Source organism: Homo sapiens, chromosome 4, assembly GCF_000001405.40.
Source record: "Homo sapiens chromosome 4, GRCh38.p14 Primary Assembly".
NCBI lineage: Eukaryota > Metazoa > Chordata > Mammalia > Primates > Hominidae > Homo > Homo sapiens.
In genome coordinates, this window is record NC_000004.12 from 41,576,724 (window position 1) to 41,597,970 (window position 21,247).

At 40.5% G+C, this 21,247-nt stretch overlaps 1 protein-coding gene and 1 long non-coding RNA gene across 42 annotated transcripts in view; one reads left to right on the forward strand and one right to left on the reverse strand.

Moving 5' to 3' along the window:
* Positions 1-5,191, reverse strand: part of LOC105374423 (uncharacterized) — a 38,461-nt gene extending 33,270 nt beyond the window's left edge. The window contains exon 1 of the long non-coding RNA XR_001741667.2: positions 1-5,191. This exon is cut by the window's left edge and continues 23,135 nt beyond it. This is a non-coding gene — a long non-coding RNA (uncharacterized LOC105374423).
* Positions 1-21,247, forward strand: part of LIMCH1 (LIM and calponin homology domains 1) — a 340,438-nt gene that overhangs the window by 217,117 nt on the left and 102,074 nt on the right. The gene's annotated exons all lie outside the window — the stretch shown is intronic.

The window sequence follows — 21,247 nt, forward strand, 5'->3', positions numbered from 1 at the left end:
AGCCTAATTTGAGTGTAGTCTTACTATGGAATGCCATATAATAATTTTTTTAAATGATGGCATTCTTTATCTTATCTTTGACTAATTAAAAAAAAAGCAAGATGTACCTACATTGGGTTTTAAAATATTAAAATATGGAGGAGGATGTGGAATACATATAAGGAGATTCATAAGCAGAATTGACTGTTGATAATACACTGATATGCAGATTTTCTTCAGTAGGCCCACTGCATCTGAGCGTTCTGCATGTGCAACCAAATGCAGATAAAAAAATACAGCATTCCCAGGATGTTAAGCCCTCACGTATGGAGGGCCGACTTTTCCTATAGGTGAGCTCCACAGGGCTCACTGTGGGACTTGAGTACACATGGATTTTAATATACTTAGGGGTCCTGGAACCAATTCCCTGCATGTACCGAGGGATGACTGTACACCAAATACTTCTGGAAATACGTATAAAAAACTGAAAATATTAGTTGTTTTAGGGCTTGGAATCTTGGTGGCTGGAGACCAGAACTAAAAGGGAAACTTTACAGTATACCCGTTTCTGTACTTTTTTAACCATGTGAATAAACTACCTATTAGGAAAGCCCAGAATTTTAGAAAGGGAGGAAAAATTATATATCTATATAGAAAAACAACTTTAAAATTATACATCCTAGTGTTAACAGTGCTTATTCCGAATAGTTCAGTTGCAAGTGATTTATTTATTTATTTACTTTTTGAGACAAGGTCTTGCTCTCTCACCCAGGCTGAAGTGTAGTGGCATGATCACAACTCACTGCAGCCTCAACCCTTTAGGCCCAAGTGATCCTCCTATCTCAGCTTCCTGAATAACCGAGACTACAGGTATGTGCCACCACACCCGGCTAGTTTTAAAATTTTTTGTAGAGATGGGGTCACCCTATGTTGCTCAGGCTGTCTTGAACTCCTGGGCTCAAGCAATCCTCTAGACTCGGCCTCCCAAAGCACTGAGATTACAAGTGTGAGCTACCACGCCTTGCCACAAGTGATTTTTTTTATACACATCTTTTTGAATATTGGCATCATTTGGACTTCAGGATTAAACTTCTTCAAATTATTTTAATGCCTAACATAAGCATATACCAACGTAAGTATATACCATAATAATTTCCAACATAAGTGTATACCATAATTCTATTTAAGCGATCTCTTGTTGTTGAACATTCATGTTGTTCCAGTTTTTCATTTTAAACAATGTTGCAATGGGCATTCTTTCATAAAAAGCTTTGTGAATGTCCATTTGTATTTCTTTAGGATAGATTCCTCAAAAAAGTGTATCTGAATCCAACAAATGCCAAATCCTAAGGCTTTTGGCACCCATTTCTATACCAGCCCTACAATGCTTACTGAATTATTTTCATGTATATCATTTTAAGATGACTGGGTAATTTATAAGGAGGTTTAATTGACTCACAGTTCTGCATGCTGAGGAAGCCTCAGGAAACTTACAATCATGGCGTAGAATGAAGAGGAAGCAAAGCACATCTTACATGGCAGCAGGAGAGAGAGAAGGGGGAAGCACCAGACACTTATCAAACAACCAGATCTCGTGAGAACTCTCTCATTATCATGAGAACAGCGTAGAGGAAACTGCCCCCATGAGCCGATCACCTCTCACCTGGACCCTCCCTTGACATGTGACGATTACAATTCAAATTACAATTCCAGATGAGATATGGGTGGGGACATAGTCAAACCATATCAATTTCTAAATCACTCTTCTAAAATATAGTATAGAACCAATTTACACCCTTGATAGCTGAATCTGAGACTGTCAACTTCTTTATATCTTCCCAACACTGGATCTTATAATTCTTATTCATCTTGGCCAATTTGATGGGTAAAACTCTTTCTCTGCTGTTGTTTTAATTAGCATTAAAATGTTTTTGGGGAGTAGGCCAAATTTCCCCCCACACATTTATTGACCATTAGTATTTCTTCTTTTCTTTTCTTCTTTTCCCCCTTCCCTTCCACTCCCCTCCCCTCCCCTCCTTTGATAGGGTCTCACTTGGTTGCCCAGGCTAGAGTGAAATGAAGTCATAGCTCCCTGTAGCCTTGAACTATTGGGCTCAAGTGACCCAGTAGCTAGGATTACAGGCATGCAAACCCACACCTGGCTAATTTTTAAATTTTTTTATAGAGACAGGGTCTCACTATGTTTTCCAGGCTGGTCTCAAACTCCTGGCCTCAAGGGATTCTCCTGCCTCAGCCTCCCAAAGCGCTGAGCTTACAAATGTGAACCACTGCACCCAGCTCTATTTATATTTCTTATGAATAAAACTAACAGAAGAAAAATGTGTGATTTTTTTTTTTTTTTAATGGGACCAAAACCTTAAAAGAAGGTTCTGGGAGAATGGAGTAGCACATATCTTGGCTTTCTTCTTTTTGCCAGTCAAGGTGCTCAGAATAAGAGCTGTTATAGAAATGTCAAGTGTAAAATGATTATGTAAGTCTACAGGCCAGCTGCTAGGTTATATCTGACTTTGTACCTCTCAATATCAGGGCTGTTTACCACCTCCTGTTCCGTAAGAGTCTGGCCTAGTCATTGAAATTGATCGGGCATAATGTCACCACTTCTGATCCTTACGCAGTGGCATTTACTGAGGCAGGAAAGGTCTTAAAAGTTAATTGCAATTTTCTGAATTATTTTAACTCACAATAGCTTGTTGCACCCTTAAACATGAGATGGGGGAATCATTTGTGTTAGGATGGTTTTACCTTAATCTGCTTTTCAAATGGCACACTGTGTCAGATGTCTCTTGACATAGTTGTGCAGTCCATCTGGCGTACAGACGGTCATCGTTAATGTAACAGTGATCCGCATCATGTATATGTGTCTAAACATCAAACAAATCAAACTCTTTTGATGTCCTTTTCAATCAGTCTTTAGTTTCAAAAATATTCTTTACACTGCTGAGTGTAACAGCAAAATTGCTTTAAGTCTTTTCTCTCCTCCCCCACTGTACACTCAGTGTTTTAAGGAATTTAAAACACTTAACTGCTTCAGAGGATGCATGATAGGGGATGATTGCCTTTCTCTGGTATCCTCTTGGCATGTGTAACATACATGTAGCGGTCTGTTTGTTTCTCAATGCTTCATGGTCTGTGGTGCCTGACAAGACCCAGTCTCCATTTGAAGGCTTTTCTGTTGCTTACCAGGGCTGCAGAGGAGCTGCTTTTTAAGGGCAGTATTTCAATAGTTAACTGGGACTTTGGGGAGGCACAGCCTTCGGGGAGGGCACCACCAGGCTCATTTAATTTTCACTAGTAATGTGGTAAGGCAGGCAGGTACAATTTACATTTGACACACAGGGTAACTGAGTTCCAGGCCTATGCATGGAGGAGACAGGATTTTAAAATTCCAAATCTCATGGGTTTTCTCACCACATCATGTGAGGTGTCCTATAGAACAATCCTTAAGTGAATGCGTTTCGTGTCCGTTTTCAAAGATCATGGTCAGTGTATAAAAATAGACAGTTAAATGTCCATGGAACGTGTACTGTCCCTCTCCTTCCCCTGAATCATGGCCACAAAGAAATCCTTCAAAAGATCAAAGAAAATGGAGATATTGAACAGGTCACACTCTGTGATCATGATGCAATGGGTATAGAAATAATAACAAGAAGGCAATTTAAAAAATTTTACCCACTTGCAAATTATGAAACACACTCACTGATAACCCTGGAATCAAAAAGAAAACCAAAGAAAATATTGACATCATCACTTCCATTTTCATTGGAAGTGAAAGTTATCAGAGAAGAAAGAAAAAAGAATATTTTATTATCAAAACTTCTAAGCACAGTGAAAGAGGAAATTTTCTATTCCTTACTAAAGAATAAAGAAAAAATAGGACAAGTCATTACTCAGCTTAAGAAATAAAGAGAAACAAAATAAACCTAAAAAAACAGGAAGAAGGAATTAATAAAGATAAAAGCTGAAATTAAAGGGATAGAATAATGGATAAATAAATCCGAAAGCTGTTTCTTTGGAAAGACCAGTAAAATATATAAATCTGTTGAAAGCCCACTTAAGGGAAAATAAGATAGCAAAAGAGTACAAACTAAAGACAAAGAAAATAAATGGCAAACCAATAAATAGAAGATAAGTTAAAATCATTTTGAGACTTGTATAAACAAACTCATGGTAAGAGGTTTGAAAACCAGCAGAAAAGGATGATTTTTCAGCAAAATATAAATGATCAAAATTGATCCCAGAAGTAGAAACCTTGACTATACCAATTACTGTAGAAGATACTGGAAAGGTAAAGAGTTATCATTCAAAAGGATTCCAGAGCCAGACGGTTACAGAGATAACCTTTAAAGAAGGAAAACTGTCTGTCTGTCTGTCCATTCATCTGTCTGTCTGTCTATCTATCTATCTATCTATCTATCTATCTATCATCTAATCAATCATCTGTTTTCTAGCTTTATTGAGGGATAGTTGTCAAATAAAATTTGTATGTATTTAAGGTGTGCAACATCATGATTTGGTATATGTATACACCGTGAAATGACCACCACAACTGAGCTAATTAACACATCCATCACTGCAAATGCAGTGAGAACACTTAAGATCTACTCTCCTAGCAAATTTCAAGTATACAATACAGTGTTATTAACTATAGTCACCATCCTGCACGTTATGTCCTCAGAATTTATACATCTTATTACTGATTATGCCCTTTTGACCAACATTTCCCTATTTCCCACAGCCCCTGGCAACCCCAATTCTACTCTCTGCTTCTGTGAGTTCAGTGACTTTAAATTCCACAAGTGACAGCCGGGCGCAGTGGCTCACACCTGTAATCCCAGCACTTTGGGAGGCCAAGGCGGGTGGATCCCGAGGTCAAGAGATCAAGACCATCCTGGCCAACATGGTGAAACCCTGTCTCTACTAAAAAGTACAAAAATTAGCTGGGCATGGTGGCATGCACCTGTAGTCCCAGCTACTTGGGAGGTTGAGGCAGGAGAATCGTTTGAACCTGGGAGGCAGAGGTTGCAGTGAGCCGAGATCGCGCCACTGCACTCCAGCCTGGGCAACAGAGCAAGACTCTGTCTCAAAAAAAAAAAAAAAAAAAAAAAAACAACAGCAAAACTCCACAAGTGAGATCATACAGAATTTATCTTTGAGTCTGGCCTATTTCACTTGGCATAATGTCCTCCAGAGTTCATCCACGTTCTCACAAATAACAGGATTTCCTTCCTTTTATGGCTAATATTCCATTGTGAATATATATGTCAGATTTTCTTTATCCGTTCATCCATTGAAGGACACATAGGTTGTTCCCATATTTTGGCTATTGCTAATAATACTGCAATGAACATGTTATTTAAACTCTTCCAACTGAATTTAAAAAAATACTTGCTTAAAATGTGTAGTGTGCTAGCCATAGTGCTAGTCCTAAAATAGTTGGTACATACATGAGTGTGAATTCCTGCATGGTAACTCATGGAATAATGGAAAACGAAGCCACAGGCTTTAACCGTAACCCAGAGCTGCATGTGTATGTTGTTCCTACCACCGTGGATCAGGTGGTGCCAAGGAATCATGATCCACAGGCACACATGGAAAACTAGATGGAAGATGGTACTGAAGCTGGTCTTTGGAATATACTCCTGAGAGACTAGGTGGCAACTCACTTTTATTAGCCCATGTAAACATTATTTATAACCTATTGACATGCTTGGTTTGGGCATCATTTTCAGGCTAGTGAGGTTTATGTCTTTATATGCTATGTGCCTAAATTTATAGACCTGGAGGCAACGCAGTGTAGTGGTAAGGGGTAGGGGTTCTGGAGTCAGATGGCCAGGATTTGATTCAACCATTTATGTTGGTTCAACCATTTACGTGTGTGCCATTAAGCACGTTACATTATGTCTCTGTAGTTCACTTTCTCATCTGGAAAATGGGGATAATAATAGTATCTACCTCATAGGGTTGACATGAAGCTTTAGTATGTAAATATACATAAATTGCTTAGAACAGTGTCTTACACATAGAATGCCCTCAATAAGTCAGTAATGATGATGATCATGATGTTGATATTTATAATTATCATTATCATCATCTTCAGCAGTATTTTTATAAGTTGGAGGGAAAGACTATGTATGGCTTTTAAATCAGACTGGCATACCTGTTAGCTTTGTCGTGGGTGTATTGTGTGCCCTTGGAACTTTACTGAACTTTATTTTATTGTGGTAAAATATACATAACAAACTTTACCATTTAATCATTTTAAGTGGACAGTTCAATGGTGTTAATACGTTTGCATTGCTGTGCAAGCATCACCACCATCCTTCCCTGTAACTTTTCATCATCTCAAACTGAAACTCTGTTCCTATCAAACAATAACTCTATGGAACTTATTTTAAACATCTTTCTCTACATCTGTGAGGGTAGGCACACTTAGGGCTAGGTTGTGAGAACTAAATGTGGGAGAAATTGCAAAGCCCCACACACCTTATAGGGCCTTAGTACTTCTTGTCCTTAGGAAACCCTGTCTATATCTTCCCAAACCTGAGTGCTTAGGAAAGGGTCCTCTGCAGTCACACTGGTGGCTCTCAACATTCCTTATGTTCACCCTTCTCCTCTCTTCCCCCCTCCATGGTGACCTTTTTCTCAGATATCTTGTTTTGTGAACAGGAACAGCATATGCAATGTGTTAACTCGTTTTAGTTGCCAAGAATGTGCTAGGTGCTATTTGGGAGAGATAACTTCCCCCATTAGATTTACTGTATAAATTAGGTCAAACACTAAGTTGGAAAGAAGAAGCCAGTATCCATGGAAAATTTATTATTTTGAATATACTTTTTTTTCAACATTCCTTGACGATGAAATGTGGTTTCCACTTGTGCATGATTACAACGTTGAGAATCTAGAGTTATATGAAGACAAGCTTTTCTCCACACCTTTTTTGAATTACATAGAAAAAAATTGGAATAGTAAAGGCAGCCCCATCTTGGGTTAGGCACCTGATAAACTTGAAAACATAAAAGGAGTGGTGGTGATATTTCCACCCAATTTCTCTCTCTCTCTCTTTTTTTTTTTTGCTTTGAATTCGTACCCTACATATCTCTTCTTCCTTTTCATACACATTTTAATATCAGCAGAATATTTCAAGAGGACTTTTCCCCAGCTGAAATTTCCGAATACCGAAATTACTTCAGGTTTGTTTTGGGTTTTTTTTTATTTTGTGGTGTTTCCTTTCTGGCTGACTTTTTAGCCTTCTCAGTAGAGAGGTTGTGATCTGTAAATATGATAGGGATAATGGTTTTTAGATCTATTGACATGGCTCTTTGCACTCACACTCATATGACCTCTATACGCCTGTTTCTTTTCCTAATGTCATCCACATGCCTGACCTGGACTATGAAATACTTTGTTCCTGGGGTCACCCCTAACTAGTAAATCATTGTCTTAACCTGCAGCCCTATAGAGACAAGTGTGGAATATATCCTTTGTTGCAAAGATTGAAGTATGCAGAGATGAATCAGACCTTGATGTTTGACTCCTATTTGTCTCACATGTCTTGGGGGTTGGTTGGCATTGCCAGTGTAGAAATGGATTGAAAGTTGGGTTTTAGATGATGAGCCACAACCAGAGTGTGATGACTATTTGACTCCTATTTGAATATGATGTGAAAATACAAACTGTGTTTCAGTAGTTCATCTGGCTCAGCATTTCTTAAACTGTGCTTTATGAGCTGTGAAAAGGTGTATGATGGAAAAAGGGATTCTGAAGTCCAATAAGTTTAGGAAAAGCTGAGTTAAAATTAAGAGTCTCTTAGTAAGAATTTCTCAGAACTGTTAGTCTAAACATTATGAACTCTCAAGTGGGGAGTATTTTATGTAGCATTTTCCAAACTTTATTTGATCCAGAATCTCCTGGGACATATCTCTAGGACTCTGTGATGTGTTTATTGCTGTTTTTTTTGTTTGTTTGTTTGTTTTGCATTTTTATACCTAACAAAATTGACCATTTTAACCATTTTTAGGTGTACAGTTTAGTAAGTTATATTCACAATGTTATGCAATTGTCATCTCTATCCATTTGTCTTAGTTTGTTCAGGCTGCTATAAGAAAATACTATAGACTAGGTGGCTTATAAACAACAGGACTTTATTTCTCACAGTTCTGGAGGCTGGGAAGTCCAAGATCAAGGCACTGGCAGATTTGGCATCTGGTGAGGACCTGTTTCCTGGTTCATAGATGACCATCTTCTTTCTTTGTCCTTCCATGGTAGAAAGGGCAAGGATGCTCTCTGGGGTCTCTTTTAAAAGGGCACTAATCCCATTTATGAGGGCTCACCCTCATGACTTAATCACTTCTTAACACTCCACTTCCAAATACCATCACATTGATCGGCACAAACATTCAGTCTATAGCACTATTTTGAGAACTTTTTCATCATCACAAACTAAAACTTTTTACTTATTAAACAACAACTACCCATTATCCCCTACCCTTACCTCAGACCCTGGTAACCTTTGTTTTACCTTCTGTCTCTATGAATTTGACTACTCTAAGTACCTCATGTATAAGTGGAATCCTGCAATATCTGTTCTTTTGTGTCTGACTTATTTCACTTAGCATACTATCTTCCGGATTTATTTACATTGTAGCATATGTCAGAAAGTCATCTCTTTATAACGCTAAATACTATTCCATTGTATGTATAGACCACATTTTGTTTATCTGTTCATCTGCTGATGAACATTTGGGTTGTTTCCACATTTTGGCCATTATAAACTTTAGTGTGCAAGTGTCTATTTGAGTTTCTGCTTTCAGTTATTTTGGGCATATACCTAAAAGTGGGATTGCTGGATCATATTGTAATCCTGTGTTTAACTTTTTGAGGAAACATCAAACTGTTTTCCATAGCAGTTACACCATTTTACATTCTCACCAGCAATGCACAGTGGTTCTAGTTTCTCTGTATTCTCATCAACACTTGTTATTTTCTGTCTTTTTAAAAACAGGCATTCTAATGAGTGTGAAGCGATATCTCATTGTGTTTGATTTGCCTGTTATTATTGTTGTTGTTTAACTTCCAACTCATCTCAGACTGATACGTGATTCTACTACCATTGGTTACACAGTTCAGCACAATATATGACTCATGTAGGTTGGAAAACATCCGAAATGTTATACTCCCTATTCAGTGAAATGAGTTCATTGATCACACAGTTGGATGTGATTAGAATACCAAATTGTTATAAAAGTTTTTAAATGCTTCACTTCGCTTCTCTTCTGTCTTCTTTTCTCTTCTCTTCTCTTCTCATCTCCTCTCTTTTCCTTTCCCTTCCTTTCCCTCCCCTCCCCTCCGCTCCCTCTCCTCCCCTCCCCTCCACTCCCCTCCCCTCCTCTCCCCTTCCCTTTTTGAAACAGGGTCTCACTCTGTCACCTAGGCTGGAGTGCAGTAGCGTGATCTCAGCTCACTGCATCCTCAACCTCCTGGGCTCCATCAATCCTCCCACCTTAGTCTCCCAAGTAGCTGGGACTATAGGCACATGTCACCATGCCTGGCTAATTTTCATATTTTTTTGTAGAGATGAGATCACATTGTGTTGCCTGCACTGGTCTGAAACCCCTGGGCTCAAGTGATCCACCTGCTTTGGCCTCCCAAAGTGCTAGGATTATAGGCATGAGCCACTGCGCCTGGCCTAAATGCTTATTTTCAATTTTGCAGTTATTTCATCATGGACCAGTACCAAACCCATAGCAATCCACAGACCACAGTTTATCACTGCTCTCAGTCATATTTTACATGTCAAATATATGGAAACTGTTTAATGGAATATGATAGATAGTTTAAGCAGTTTTATTCTAAAATAAGTGAAGGTATTTTTCATTCAATTCCCAAAATGCAACTAGTGAATTATGTTGGAAAACAATCTGGCCATATAATATAGTAATGCATATGTTGGGTTTTAGGGTTAGTTTAAGTAGCCTGGGGAATAGTTCAGTAATTTTTTGGAGGGATAGATTCCTTGGAATCCAGACAGTTTTCCTGATAGGCTGCACTGTGGTATTGCCCCTCAAATGAGCTTGAATGTCAAGTCCTTGAGAGGCGATACAGCTGCTGTATGGATGGTCATGAGTCTGGAATCCAGAAAGAGATAAAATCAAGGTGCAAGAGCCAACGGAGTCTTTGGGGTTGAGCACTCTATTTCCCTAACTGTGCTATGAGGAAAAAATAATTAATATATGCTATGCTGGCAAGGAATTGTGCTTCCAAAGCTCTTCCAAGCAGAGTTAATTAAGTAATGTATGCTCACTTCATTTTGTAGTTGGTTCTCTTTGGCATCAAGACTGTTAACTTAAGCAAATGGAAGCAGCATTGCAGCTTAGTGCATAGTTCCAAAAGAATAAAGCAAAACCAAATTTGAAGAGTTTGTATGCTAAAAATGATAGTAGTAATTCACATTCTACTCTAAAACTTTGAAAGAAAAATCCACATCTGATCCACTTTTGTGAGTGCAGCCAGTATTGATAGTTTTGTCTGCCCTAGGGAGTCTCATTTTCCTTCTTTTGGAAACTATTCCTCCTCTACTCCTCCCTGGCCAAGGATTCACGGTCTTTCTATCCTCTTTCATTAGCTACTGTGGGAGGGAACTTGACCCTAGACAGGTCAATATGGGCCTTTTCCTGGGATGTTTTTCAAACTGCAAGTAAGAAGAGAGTCAGTCCTCTGACGGGGTGCCAGCCTTCAATAATGAAACTTGGGAACTAGAGGTTCGTGTGGAAGAAACTCATGAACAGCAAGAGCCAATAAGCCAACATGCAGGGTGGGCACACAAGAGATTAAGGAAGTCCAGGGCCCCAGTACCTGAGGCCTTGGTTTACAGCTGTTTCAGTGGGTCAGCTGCATCCCCACCCTGTGCCCTGCTGGGTTATACTGGACTCTGTAATCCAATATATGCCTATTTACATCTGGATTTCTCTCACTTGCAAATAAGAGTCCCTCATGACCCCTTCCTGCTCAAAACACTTAACATACTACCTTTCAAACAGCAAGTATGCCATTGATAGCTTTGAATAAGCTTTAAAAGTTAAAGTTAACATAGCCTAAGCACTGACTCGTCATCATTCTAACCCAGACTCACACTTTGCTCCCATTATTGAAAAAACAGTAACAGATTACTTCAAAATACCGTAACATATCAAACTTTATATTCTTTTTTTTATTTTGTTTTATTATTATTATACTTTAAGTTTTAGGGTACATGTGCACAATGTGCAGGTTAGTTACATATGTATACATGTGCCATGCTGGTGTGCTGCGCCCATTAACTCGTCAATTAGCATTAGGTATATCTCCTAATGCTATCCCTCCCCCTTCCCCCCACCCCACAACAGTCCCTAGAGTGTGATGTTCCCCTTCCTGTGTCCATGTGTTCTCATTGTTCAATTCCCACCTATGAGTGAGAATATGCGGTGTTTGGTTTTTTGTTCTTGCGATAGTTTACTGAGAATGACTTTATATTCTTTTTAAAAAATAATTTTTAGATACAGAATATGGGATGGGTGAAGTGAGGGGATTTAAATCTTGGGGGCTAATGACATCTGTGAGTGAGCAGAAGGTGAAGGCATGGCAGAGAGGTGGAAGGAAGTAGAGGAGGCTTGTTCACACTTCTTCCAAGATTGGAAGAGGGGGCTGACCAAGGATGCCTGGAAGGATTAACAAGTGGATCCAGGAGCCTACTGATGTGGGAGCTCATAAATTTGTGGCAGCTCCAGGCCCAATCATGGCAGCATTTTGTCCAGTAGCACAGGGAGCCAAGCATTAGGGACTTAGGGTGATAAATAATATTCCCCTCTTCCTCTTCTAGCTGAGACATAAACATGGGAATCAGACAGAGATCACAATATCATCTTGACTTCTCATGGAACAAATTGGAGAACATGAGTTTAGCTCTTCAACCAAGTGGGTTTGCCAATCCTCAATCCTGAATTAAATGAATTTATCCACCCATTTCTGGCACAGCTGGGCAACCACAGGCCTCCGCCACAGAGAGAGGCCCCTTACCACATGGCAGAGACCGAGAGCCTGTCTTCGTGGAACGGAAATAGCTGAGGAGAGATGTCCCATTTCTTCTCCCAAACCAACTTAGCAAAGAAGGAGGGAGGGCCAGGAGTGTTATCCCAGCTGATGTCCCTCCATATAGACAGACGGCTGATCCTTCTTCCAGTGGAGGCAAGAGATGGCTGGGTTCGATGCCAAGGATCATTGTCCCAGGCTAACTGTTCCATCTGCATTATTTCCTCCTCCTAGTCCTTGTTCTCTTATAGAATGACAAAGAGGTGGGGATGCTGAAGCTACATGCAGTGGCCTAGACTGGATCATGAAGGAAATAAGGCAACAAGGGGAGAGAGAAATGGACTGAGAGAAAAGAGCAAAGTTTGTAAATGAAAGAGCAGGTGTTATAGGTGAGAAAGAATGAGAATCCTGGAAGAAGAGGGACTAAGGTAAAAGAGGAAGAGCATTTACTTCTTATGTCCCAGTTATTGTTGTTCTAGGTGATATCTAGGTTAAAAGAGAGCGAGAGAGCTGTGCAAAGGCCCTGGCAGGAGCTCACCTGGCATGTCTGAGGACCAGTGAGCAGGTGCCTGGCTGAAGCCGCATCGGGGGTGGTGGGTGGGGGAGAGCCTTGGAGATGTGATCAGAAATGTAGTGGGTAACAGGTTCTGCAGGACTTGTAAGGACATAGGCTTTTAGAAGAGAAACCTGGGACAGAGAAGGGTTAGGTTATTCAGCCAGGAAGGGGCAGAGCTGGGATCCTCAGTGTGGTGGTGTGGCATTTGACCCCAGACACACAGTGCTTCCTGAAACAGTGCTCTGGTCTGGCTTCCCTGTTGCTGGCTTCCCAGGTTCTCCTCCTGCTTATGTTTGCTTTTCTTCAGGCACGATGAACTTGTCCTCCTCTAACTGTCCTTTACATGTGGATGATGTCTCTGGGTTAGCCTCGCTCGTTCTGTGTCTGACCTCTCCCAGGAAATATCCTGCTTTCCCTTGGCTTCTCCTGTGTTCCTGGGCTGGTGATTCCCAAACCTACATATTCTGCAGGGGCCTTGCTTCTCAACTCCAAACCCAAATATAAGTCCCTGATGAGCTAGGGCTCTCTAAATATAGAGTGCTCCCAGTTTATTTCCCTTCCTCACAGATCTCCTCTTGCCCCTGTTCCTTAGGACAATCTCAATGTCTAAAAACCATGGCATTACCTGAAATCCCATCTTTCCCCTCGTCCTCTATCCCCACATCCACTCAATGGCCAATCCAAAGAGAGGTGCTCATATCTTCCCCCTCTGGTTTAGCTCTCCCTGGGATCTTTTAAAAATAGTTAGTTAATTAATTGTTCTTTTTTTTGAGACAGGGTCTCGCTCTTGCCCAGGCTGGAGTGTAGTGGCACAATCACGGCTCACTTCAATTTCTGCCTCCCAGGTTCAAGCCATCCTCCCATCTCAGCCTCCCGAGTAGTTGGGTCTAAGGTGCGCACCACCAGGCCCATCTAATTTTTTTATTTTTGTAGAGATAAGGTTTCGCCACATTGCCCAGGCTGGTCTCGAACTTCTGGGCTCAGGTGATCTGCCTGCCTCCTAAAGTGCTGAAATTATAGGCATGAACTACCACGCCAGGCCTGGGATCTTATAGTAGCCTCTTAAATGGACCCTCTCCTCCACCCATTGGCTCTCTCCCTCTGCACCTGACATCTTTTCCCAAAACAAAGCTAGGATCCCAGGACTCCTGTTCTCATGAGCTGGTCTGGCTTCCCCACTGCCTAAAGAACAGTCTAGATCTTTAGCAAGACACTCAGAGGCCTCCTCTGTCTCACCTTTCATAGTTCTCTTCTCCTCCCACCTCCCATTTTCTCTTCTGTGATCCGCTGTGCTTCTGCTCATTTCCCATCCATAAAATGTTTTCTTCTGCTTCAAGCAGCCACCCAGCTGCCACCTTCTGGGTCAAACGTCCCCAGAATTCCCCCAGGCAGAATGAGTTGCTCTTTTCTCTCAGTGGAAGAGCTGGTATCCTCATTAAGTGCTCCTGGCAAATAAAAATGCATTGAAAGTCTGGCAAGTGCTGATTGTTGTTGGACATCAGCCAGTCACTGGAGTGTGACTGTTACCCATACAGGCTGAGGCAGCAACTGTGAACACACGGCAGGTACAGGAAATCCCCAAATTCTATTAATTATGTGGTAAGTTCCTGGAGATATTTTGGTAATGTATTCCTAAAGTTCTGAGTTTCTTAATTGCATTTCTGTTAAAGGGAGTTTACTTCAAATGTAGAAAACCTAACCAAAACCATGTTTAAAAGAAAAACAAGTCTTATAGGTAGAATAGAAAAGTAACATTATTGTTGGTTATGGGTTTCCTAACAAGATCTGGGTCTTCTATGATAGACTTGCAAATCTGAAAGCCTTTCTGAGGTATGCTAGTCCGTATTAAAATTTCTTTCTTTCTTTTCTCATTCTCTTTTTTCTTTTTCTTTCTTTCTTTCTTGCTTGCTTGCTTGCTTGCCAAGGTCTTGCTTTGTTACCCAGGCTGAAGTACAGTGGTGCGATCATAGCTCACTGCAGCCTCTACCTCCTGGGCTCAGGTGATTCTCCCACCCCAGCCTCCTGAGTAGCTGGGACTACAGGCATGCTCCACCATGGCCAGCTAATTTTTTAAAAAACGTTTTATAGAGAGAGTCTTGCTCTCTTGCCCAGGCTGGTCTTGAACTTCTGGCCTCAAGGGGTCCTCCTGCCTCAGCCTCTCAAAGCACTGGCAGTACAAGTGTGACCCACTGCACCTGGGCCTTACTAAGATTTTTAGGGCAAATATTTGTTATAGAAAATGTATAAAAATGAGAACTTCAAAAGTGGTAATTCTAGTTTACATTTTAATATTTTCCACCTAGTCTTTTCATTTGTGGAAACTGAGAATTATATGGATGCTTTATATGTATATATTGCATTTTAAATATGTGGCAGTAAAGGTGTCTGGATTCATTTGAAACCCAAATGAGCATTCCCTTCATTTTCTGTGAACGCAAATCCATGATCATGTTGATCTCTCCCTATTGGGGTAAAAGAAATAACGCCAAGAAGGTTGGGCACAGAAGGGAGCTTCTCATTCCCTGTCTGGTTTCCACAGAGAACTACCAAATGCAGGGTGTCTGCCCCAGAGCCAGAAAGCTGCTTGCTCTGTGCAGGAGATAAAGGAAAGAGAGAAACCTTTTTGCAGATGGAAATGACAACTGAAGAAAGAGAAAGGTAGCAAGGAGCTTCTTGCTTGCCTTCTGAAGAAAAGAGGAAGAAGGGCCTGGATGAAGCCCCCTCCTCCTGCCCCTTCTCCCTCTGATAGCACTGCCATGGGCTGAGGAAACCTCTTCTGTAACTGCTGGGATCCTTGATCCAACTGTAGTCAGAGGACAAGTGCACCTGGCATCTCTGAATATGTTTTCCCACTGAAGTGTTCTGTCCAGCTTTTAGATTCCATCATGTAATTCCTACTCTCCTTCATGTGTACTTTGGATGAAATAAGCTTTTCTGGCCTGAACTTAGAACCACCATGCAAGGATTTATTTCTGTGGGTTAATTACAAATGATGGCTTATAAGCAGCTACCCTCCAAATGAACTTTTGGTATGTAGCCTGCCCCTAAATTTGAGGCTGTTTGTATAAAACTGTCAAGCTGGTGGTTAATAACAACTAAGTAACAATAGCAGCAACTATCTTTTTTTTTTCTTTGCCATCTCCTATGTAACTGGCAAGGGCTATACCTACACAGTGTGCCTGTTTTTCATAAATGGATAAACTGTTCTTCATCATCGCATCTTCCATGGTCCTTTCTTGACCTGAGTGAACAAGAATGTCTTAATAATAACTCCCAGACAATGAGTGCCCAGAAGGTGCCAGACGCTGAGCTGTGTTCTTAATGTATATTTTCTGTAATTTTGACATCCCCACAGGTCGATAGCATCCCCCACCTTATGAGTTAGAAATCTGAGGATCAGAAAGGTTAGGAACTATGCCCAAGGACACGTAGCTAAGAAGCAGACAAGGCTGGGATTCTAACTAGAAAAGCTATTTGTGCCCTGTTCCTTGATATGTTTGTTATTCTCTTACTTCTATTTTCTAATTTGATGTCAGAACTCTGTTTATGTGTATGTTGAACAATTCCAGTTATTTGATGGATTGTGAAGACTAAGGAATTCTGTTTTATTCATTACAGATACCTAGAAGAGTACGTAGCACATTGAATTGAGTTTATTTAAATATTTAGTGAGCACTTGTACATGTCAGGAACTTTGCTACACTCTGGGGTAGAGACCATCCTGGGCTATTCCCTCACCTTGCCTTTGGAGTGTGAAAGGAAAGGGAGTGAGTTGCAAGGATGTCTTTAGAGTAAGAGGCCCTGGGAAGGTAGCAAGCTCAGGTCTTACCCATAGCCCTTGGGAAATGTTTTTATACACAGGGCAAGCCCACAAATCAATGAAATGAGAAACCACTGGCCCATGAACAAGGAGGGTTTAATGTATGGAAGTTACATAAACAGTGGTATAAATTCATGTATTAATATTTGTCTAGTACAAAATAGACTCTTTGAGGAACTTTATGTTATGCCTTTCTGTTGAACTGAGACTCATGTTATGCAGTACTTGCCAATTAGCCAGAAATGGTAACTTTCCATCAGTAGCACCTGAGGATTTACCGCCATGAGTTTGCAGTGGTCATCTCAGAGGTGACAACCATTTTTCCTTGAATTTTGTGGAATAGATTTTTACCAATGAAGTCACAATCCTACCTAGTTGAATATATCTTTTAGAAAGTCAAGAACCTTTTCTCACAACCTTTTTTGGGAAAAATCTCAAACATACAGAAAAATTCAAAGAATGGTATGGTGAATAAGCGAATACAGGGTCATCCAGCTATGGTCTATGGGCCAAATCCACCCAATGCCTGCTTTCATAAATAAAGTTTGTTAGAATACAGACACACGTTTGTTTACATATGATCTGGTTACAACAACAGTGTTGAATTATTTTAACAGAGACCACCATATGGCCCACAAGGCCTAAAAGATTTACTATCTGACCCTTTATAGAAAAAGTTGACTGTCCCTTGATCTAGATTCACTGCTTGTTACTATTTTACTATTTGCTTTATCTCTGTCTTCACAGACAGGCAGACATACTCGCAACCTCTCTCTCTCTCCCTTCCCCCACACGTGTGAACATATATATACATGCATACTTTTTTTGAACCATTTGAAAGTTATGTTACTGACATTATGATAATTCACCCCTAAATAATTCATGTGGATGCTTAAAAATAAAGGCAGTCTCTCATATAAATGCAAAATCATGATCACACCTAAAAAATTAACATTCATTGAGTAATATCATCCAATGTGCAGTTTATATTTAAATTAGACTATTACACCCTTATTTAGTTTTTCCTTTGGGATCTGGGGTCTAATCAAAGATCATACATTGCATTTGTTCATGATGGCTTTGATTGCCAATTTTTGTTTTACATGACATTGACTTTTTTGAAGAGTCCTTTAAAAACTTCTTGCAAAGATGTATGGGTTTGTTAGCTCCACGATAGTAAGAGCTAAATATATAGCCATTATAGTAAAGCAGTGTCTTGTACTTCTTTTCCCTTGGGATTGAGACACTTTTAGTGTTTGGCTTCCAAAGTTAACACACTAAGTTTTGGGTTTTGCTGGAAATTGTAAATGTGGAAAAATCTCAGTGTGAACAGCAAGGCAGATGAGAATTCACAGAATGCATTTTATGTAATTAAAGGCACAGCCCTTCTCGCTTGCTCCAGTGGCTGCCCTTGCTAGCTCTTGGCTGGGTGGCTCTTCCTTCTGGCTTTTCTTCTGCCTAGGGCCTGGCTCCCCTCCAGCATCATTAGGTTGTAGCAAGAAGCTGGAAACAGACCTGCAGTTATTTAAATCTTCTAGCCCAAATTGTTTGGGCTGGCTGGCAGCACAAAGCTTTTGTGTTTGCAGGCTGCACGCTGAACACAGCATGGTGTTCAAAGGCGTGCATCCCAGATCTGTGTGTCTGGGATGCACATAGGAGGAGCACCTTGTTGAGAATCTGTGGGGGTCACAGTCATGCACCTCTTAGGGGACTACATGCTGGTCACAGGTCTTGTCTTTTATTGTGGTGCCAAATGATGTCCAGAGAGCATCAACACTCAGCCTTTGCTTTCCTCTGGGCAGAAAGCACTCAGAGCTTAAAGGCCAGTCAGAGGATACTTGCACTCCCAAGTGAAGACTCACCTGGATCTGTACTAGTCACTCGTTGGTTTGGAGTTGCCTCATGGGGTAAAGGGTTTATTTACTGTTCCTGAATGGTAGAATTGTAAGTGAGTGGTGCACGTGTTTTTGAATGTGGTATCCTCAAGATTGTTCAAGGCTAGAGCAGTGGAGCATTTGAGAATCACAGAGCCAAGTAAGTTAAGAGGGTGCATATGTATGTGTGTTTGTTTGCCGTTGGGAGGGAAGGAGGAAGAAGAACATCATAGAGAAAGAGAAGACAAGAAGAAAGAGAACTAAAATGGAAATTTCAGGAAGGCTGAATTCAGAATAAGGCACCTGGAAATTTGGAGAGGCGGGAAAAGGAATTGCCACTTTTCAGACTTAGCATTTTTAACATCTGGGGAAACTTTATTTTATTTTTTCCACTGTGTGAAGTTAATTGGGAGTCAGATTTAGTAGCGGGGTGACTGGTATGGTATATAACCTCTCTGTGCCTCAACTACTCCTCTAGAAAATGGAGACAATAACAGTACCTGCTGTGTATGGCTGTTTTGAAAATAAATGAAATAATCCATGTACATCCTCAGAACAGACCTGGTAGCTAGATGGCAAATGCTTGAAGAGTGTAAGGTATAAATGTTTAGTTCATATTATTAAGTGCCCCACATAATTCACCATAATGGTCTGATATCTACAGCCTTCACCAATCTTTAACCTATTTTCTTAAGAATAATGAGTAAATTTTTTAAAGCCTTTTAAAAAAGAATTCATCAACTGGACATGGTGGCTCATGCCTGTAATCCCAGCACGTTGCAGGGCCAAGGTGGGCAGATCACTTGAGCTCGAGACCAGCCTGGCCAACATAGTGAAACTTCATCTCTACTAAAAATACAGAAATTAGCCAGGCATGGTGGCTCATGCCTGTGGTCCCAGCTACTCAGGAGGCTGAGGCAGTAGAATCTCTTGAACCTAGGAGGTGGAGGCTGAAGTGAGCCGAGATTGCATACTGCACTCCAGCCTGGGTGACAGAGTGAGACTCCATCTCAAAAAAAAAAAAATAAAAAAGTTCACCAGCAAGCTTTGATTCTCATATTGACAAAGTATTTTTCCACTTTTCAGCAATACTTTATTGTACTAATTTTTATCTCCATACGTGCTCATAAATATTCCAGTAATAGTAAAGTATGTGACTTTTATTCCTTCTTTTTCTACCATTTTTGTAACCGATCATTTACATGTAAACGTACCAAATGAACATCCACATGTACTTCTTCCACTGGCAATAAGAAAAGCAAAATTCCAGGGAGAAAATTTTGCTGTCTCTGGAAAATGATGTGACCCAAATTGGAAGTCTGAGTACTGAGTAAAGACAAGTCTGGAAGCAAGTAAGACTGGCATGGTTTGCATAGCTAAAATCAGTGATAAACTGATATGTCCGTGTGATAACAAAGTTAACTAGAAAAAAGGATTGAAAACGATTTATTTCAAGTAACTGAAATATTGGGACAAAATAAGTGTTTTGGAAAGAAAGATGTTATATTTAAATTCAGCGACAGGATGATCAATGCACAACTAGAAAATCTGGGTCCTTTAAAATGGACTCTGTATCACCACTTTTTTCAATCCTTGCTTTCTTTCCCTTTCTTTTCTACCTAGGACAGTGTCAATCAATGAAACATATATGGCCAAGAAAGTGGAAAACTGCAAAACTCAGGGGATGGGAGGGAACTCTTACATTTGATAATTTAAAAATGTGGAAAGTAACCGAAGGAGAAACTGGTGAGGGTGTAGGTGACTTCAGACTTTGAGCAGCTAGCTCACTGTCAGCCTCCAAGAGGTCTTGTGAACAATGGCATCTCTTGCCTGCTGAAAAAAGACCTAGGCTTTACCCAGAAAGAAAACATCCTGGGATGAAGCCACCCTCACTGGGGGAAAATAAAGTTGTAGTAACTCGTCATTGTTCTCCCTGTCTCCCATCTTCTTCCTTTTTAGTACTTCCTTCACACCGTCTACCTCCCCCCAACCCCACCTGCAACAATCTCCTTCCACCATAGATCTGGGTTTTCACTTCTCAGATATAGCCCCCCTGTGACATTCTGCAACTTGTCTTCCATGGCCTTCGAGGCGTCTATGATCAGCCTCTACCTGCATAGCCTCATCTTCCTTTGGTGCTGGCCTCAGATTTTATGCTTCAGTTCCTCATATAAGACATGTTGTTTTGCACCTCCATCGTTTGGGGGCTGTGTGATCTTGGACAATTTGCTTAATTGTTCTGTGCCTTAGATCACTCATCTGCCAAAATTTTTCATAAAGTTGTACAGGAATTAAATGAGTGAATATATGTAAAGTTCTTGGAATAATGCATGGTGAATAATAAGGGCTATAGAAAGGTTAGCAACTTATTGCTATTGTTCTTGTTGTTATTTTGAGCCTGGATGTATTAATTTTTTTATTACTGCATACAACCTAATGTCTTTAACACCAATGGTTATCTCTCATTTTCTGAATGTCAGCAGTCTGGACATGGTGTAACTGGATTTTTAGCTCAGGGTCCTGCAGGACTGAAACTAAAGTGTTAGTGTGGGCTGAGGTCCTATCTGAACATCTTCCAAGCTCCTTCCAAGCTCATGTGGTTGTTAACAGAATTCATCTCCTTGCAGCTATAGAATTCATGGCCAGCATGAATTCTGACCTCACCTTCTAAGAGTTTCCCTGATTAGGTCAGGCCCAATCAGATAATCTTTCTTTTGATTAACTCCAAGTCAACTTGCTAGTGACATATCACAGAGTTATAGCCCATCATATTCACAGATTTCACTTGCACTCAAGAAGAGGTGTGTACATTGGGGGCAGGATTCTTGGGGTTTATCTTAGAATCCTGACTGCAAACTGGGTAACTGGAAATATTCTCTGTTCACTAAGTTGAATTGCACGTGGGTGAATACGTGATTCTGTAATCACCACCAT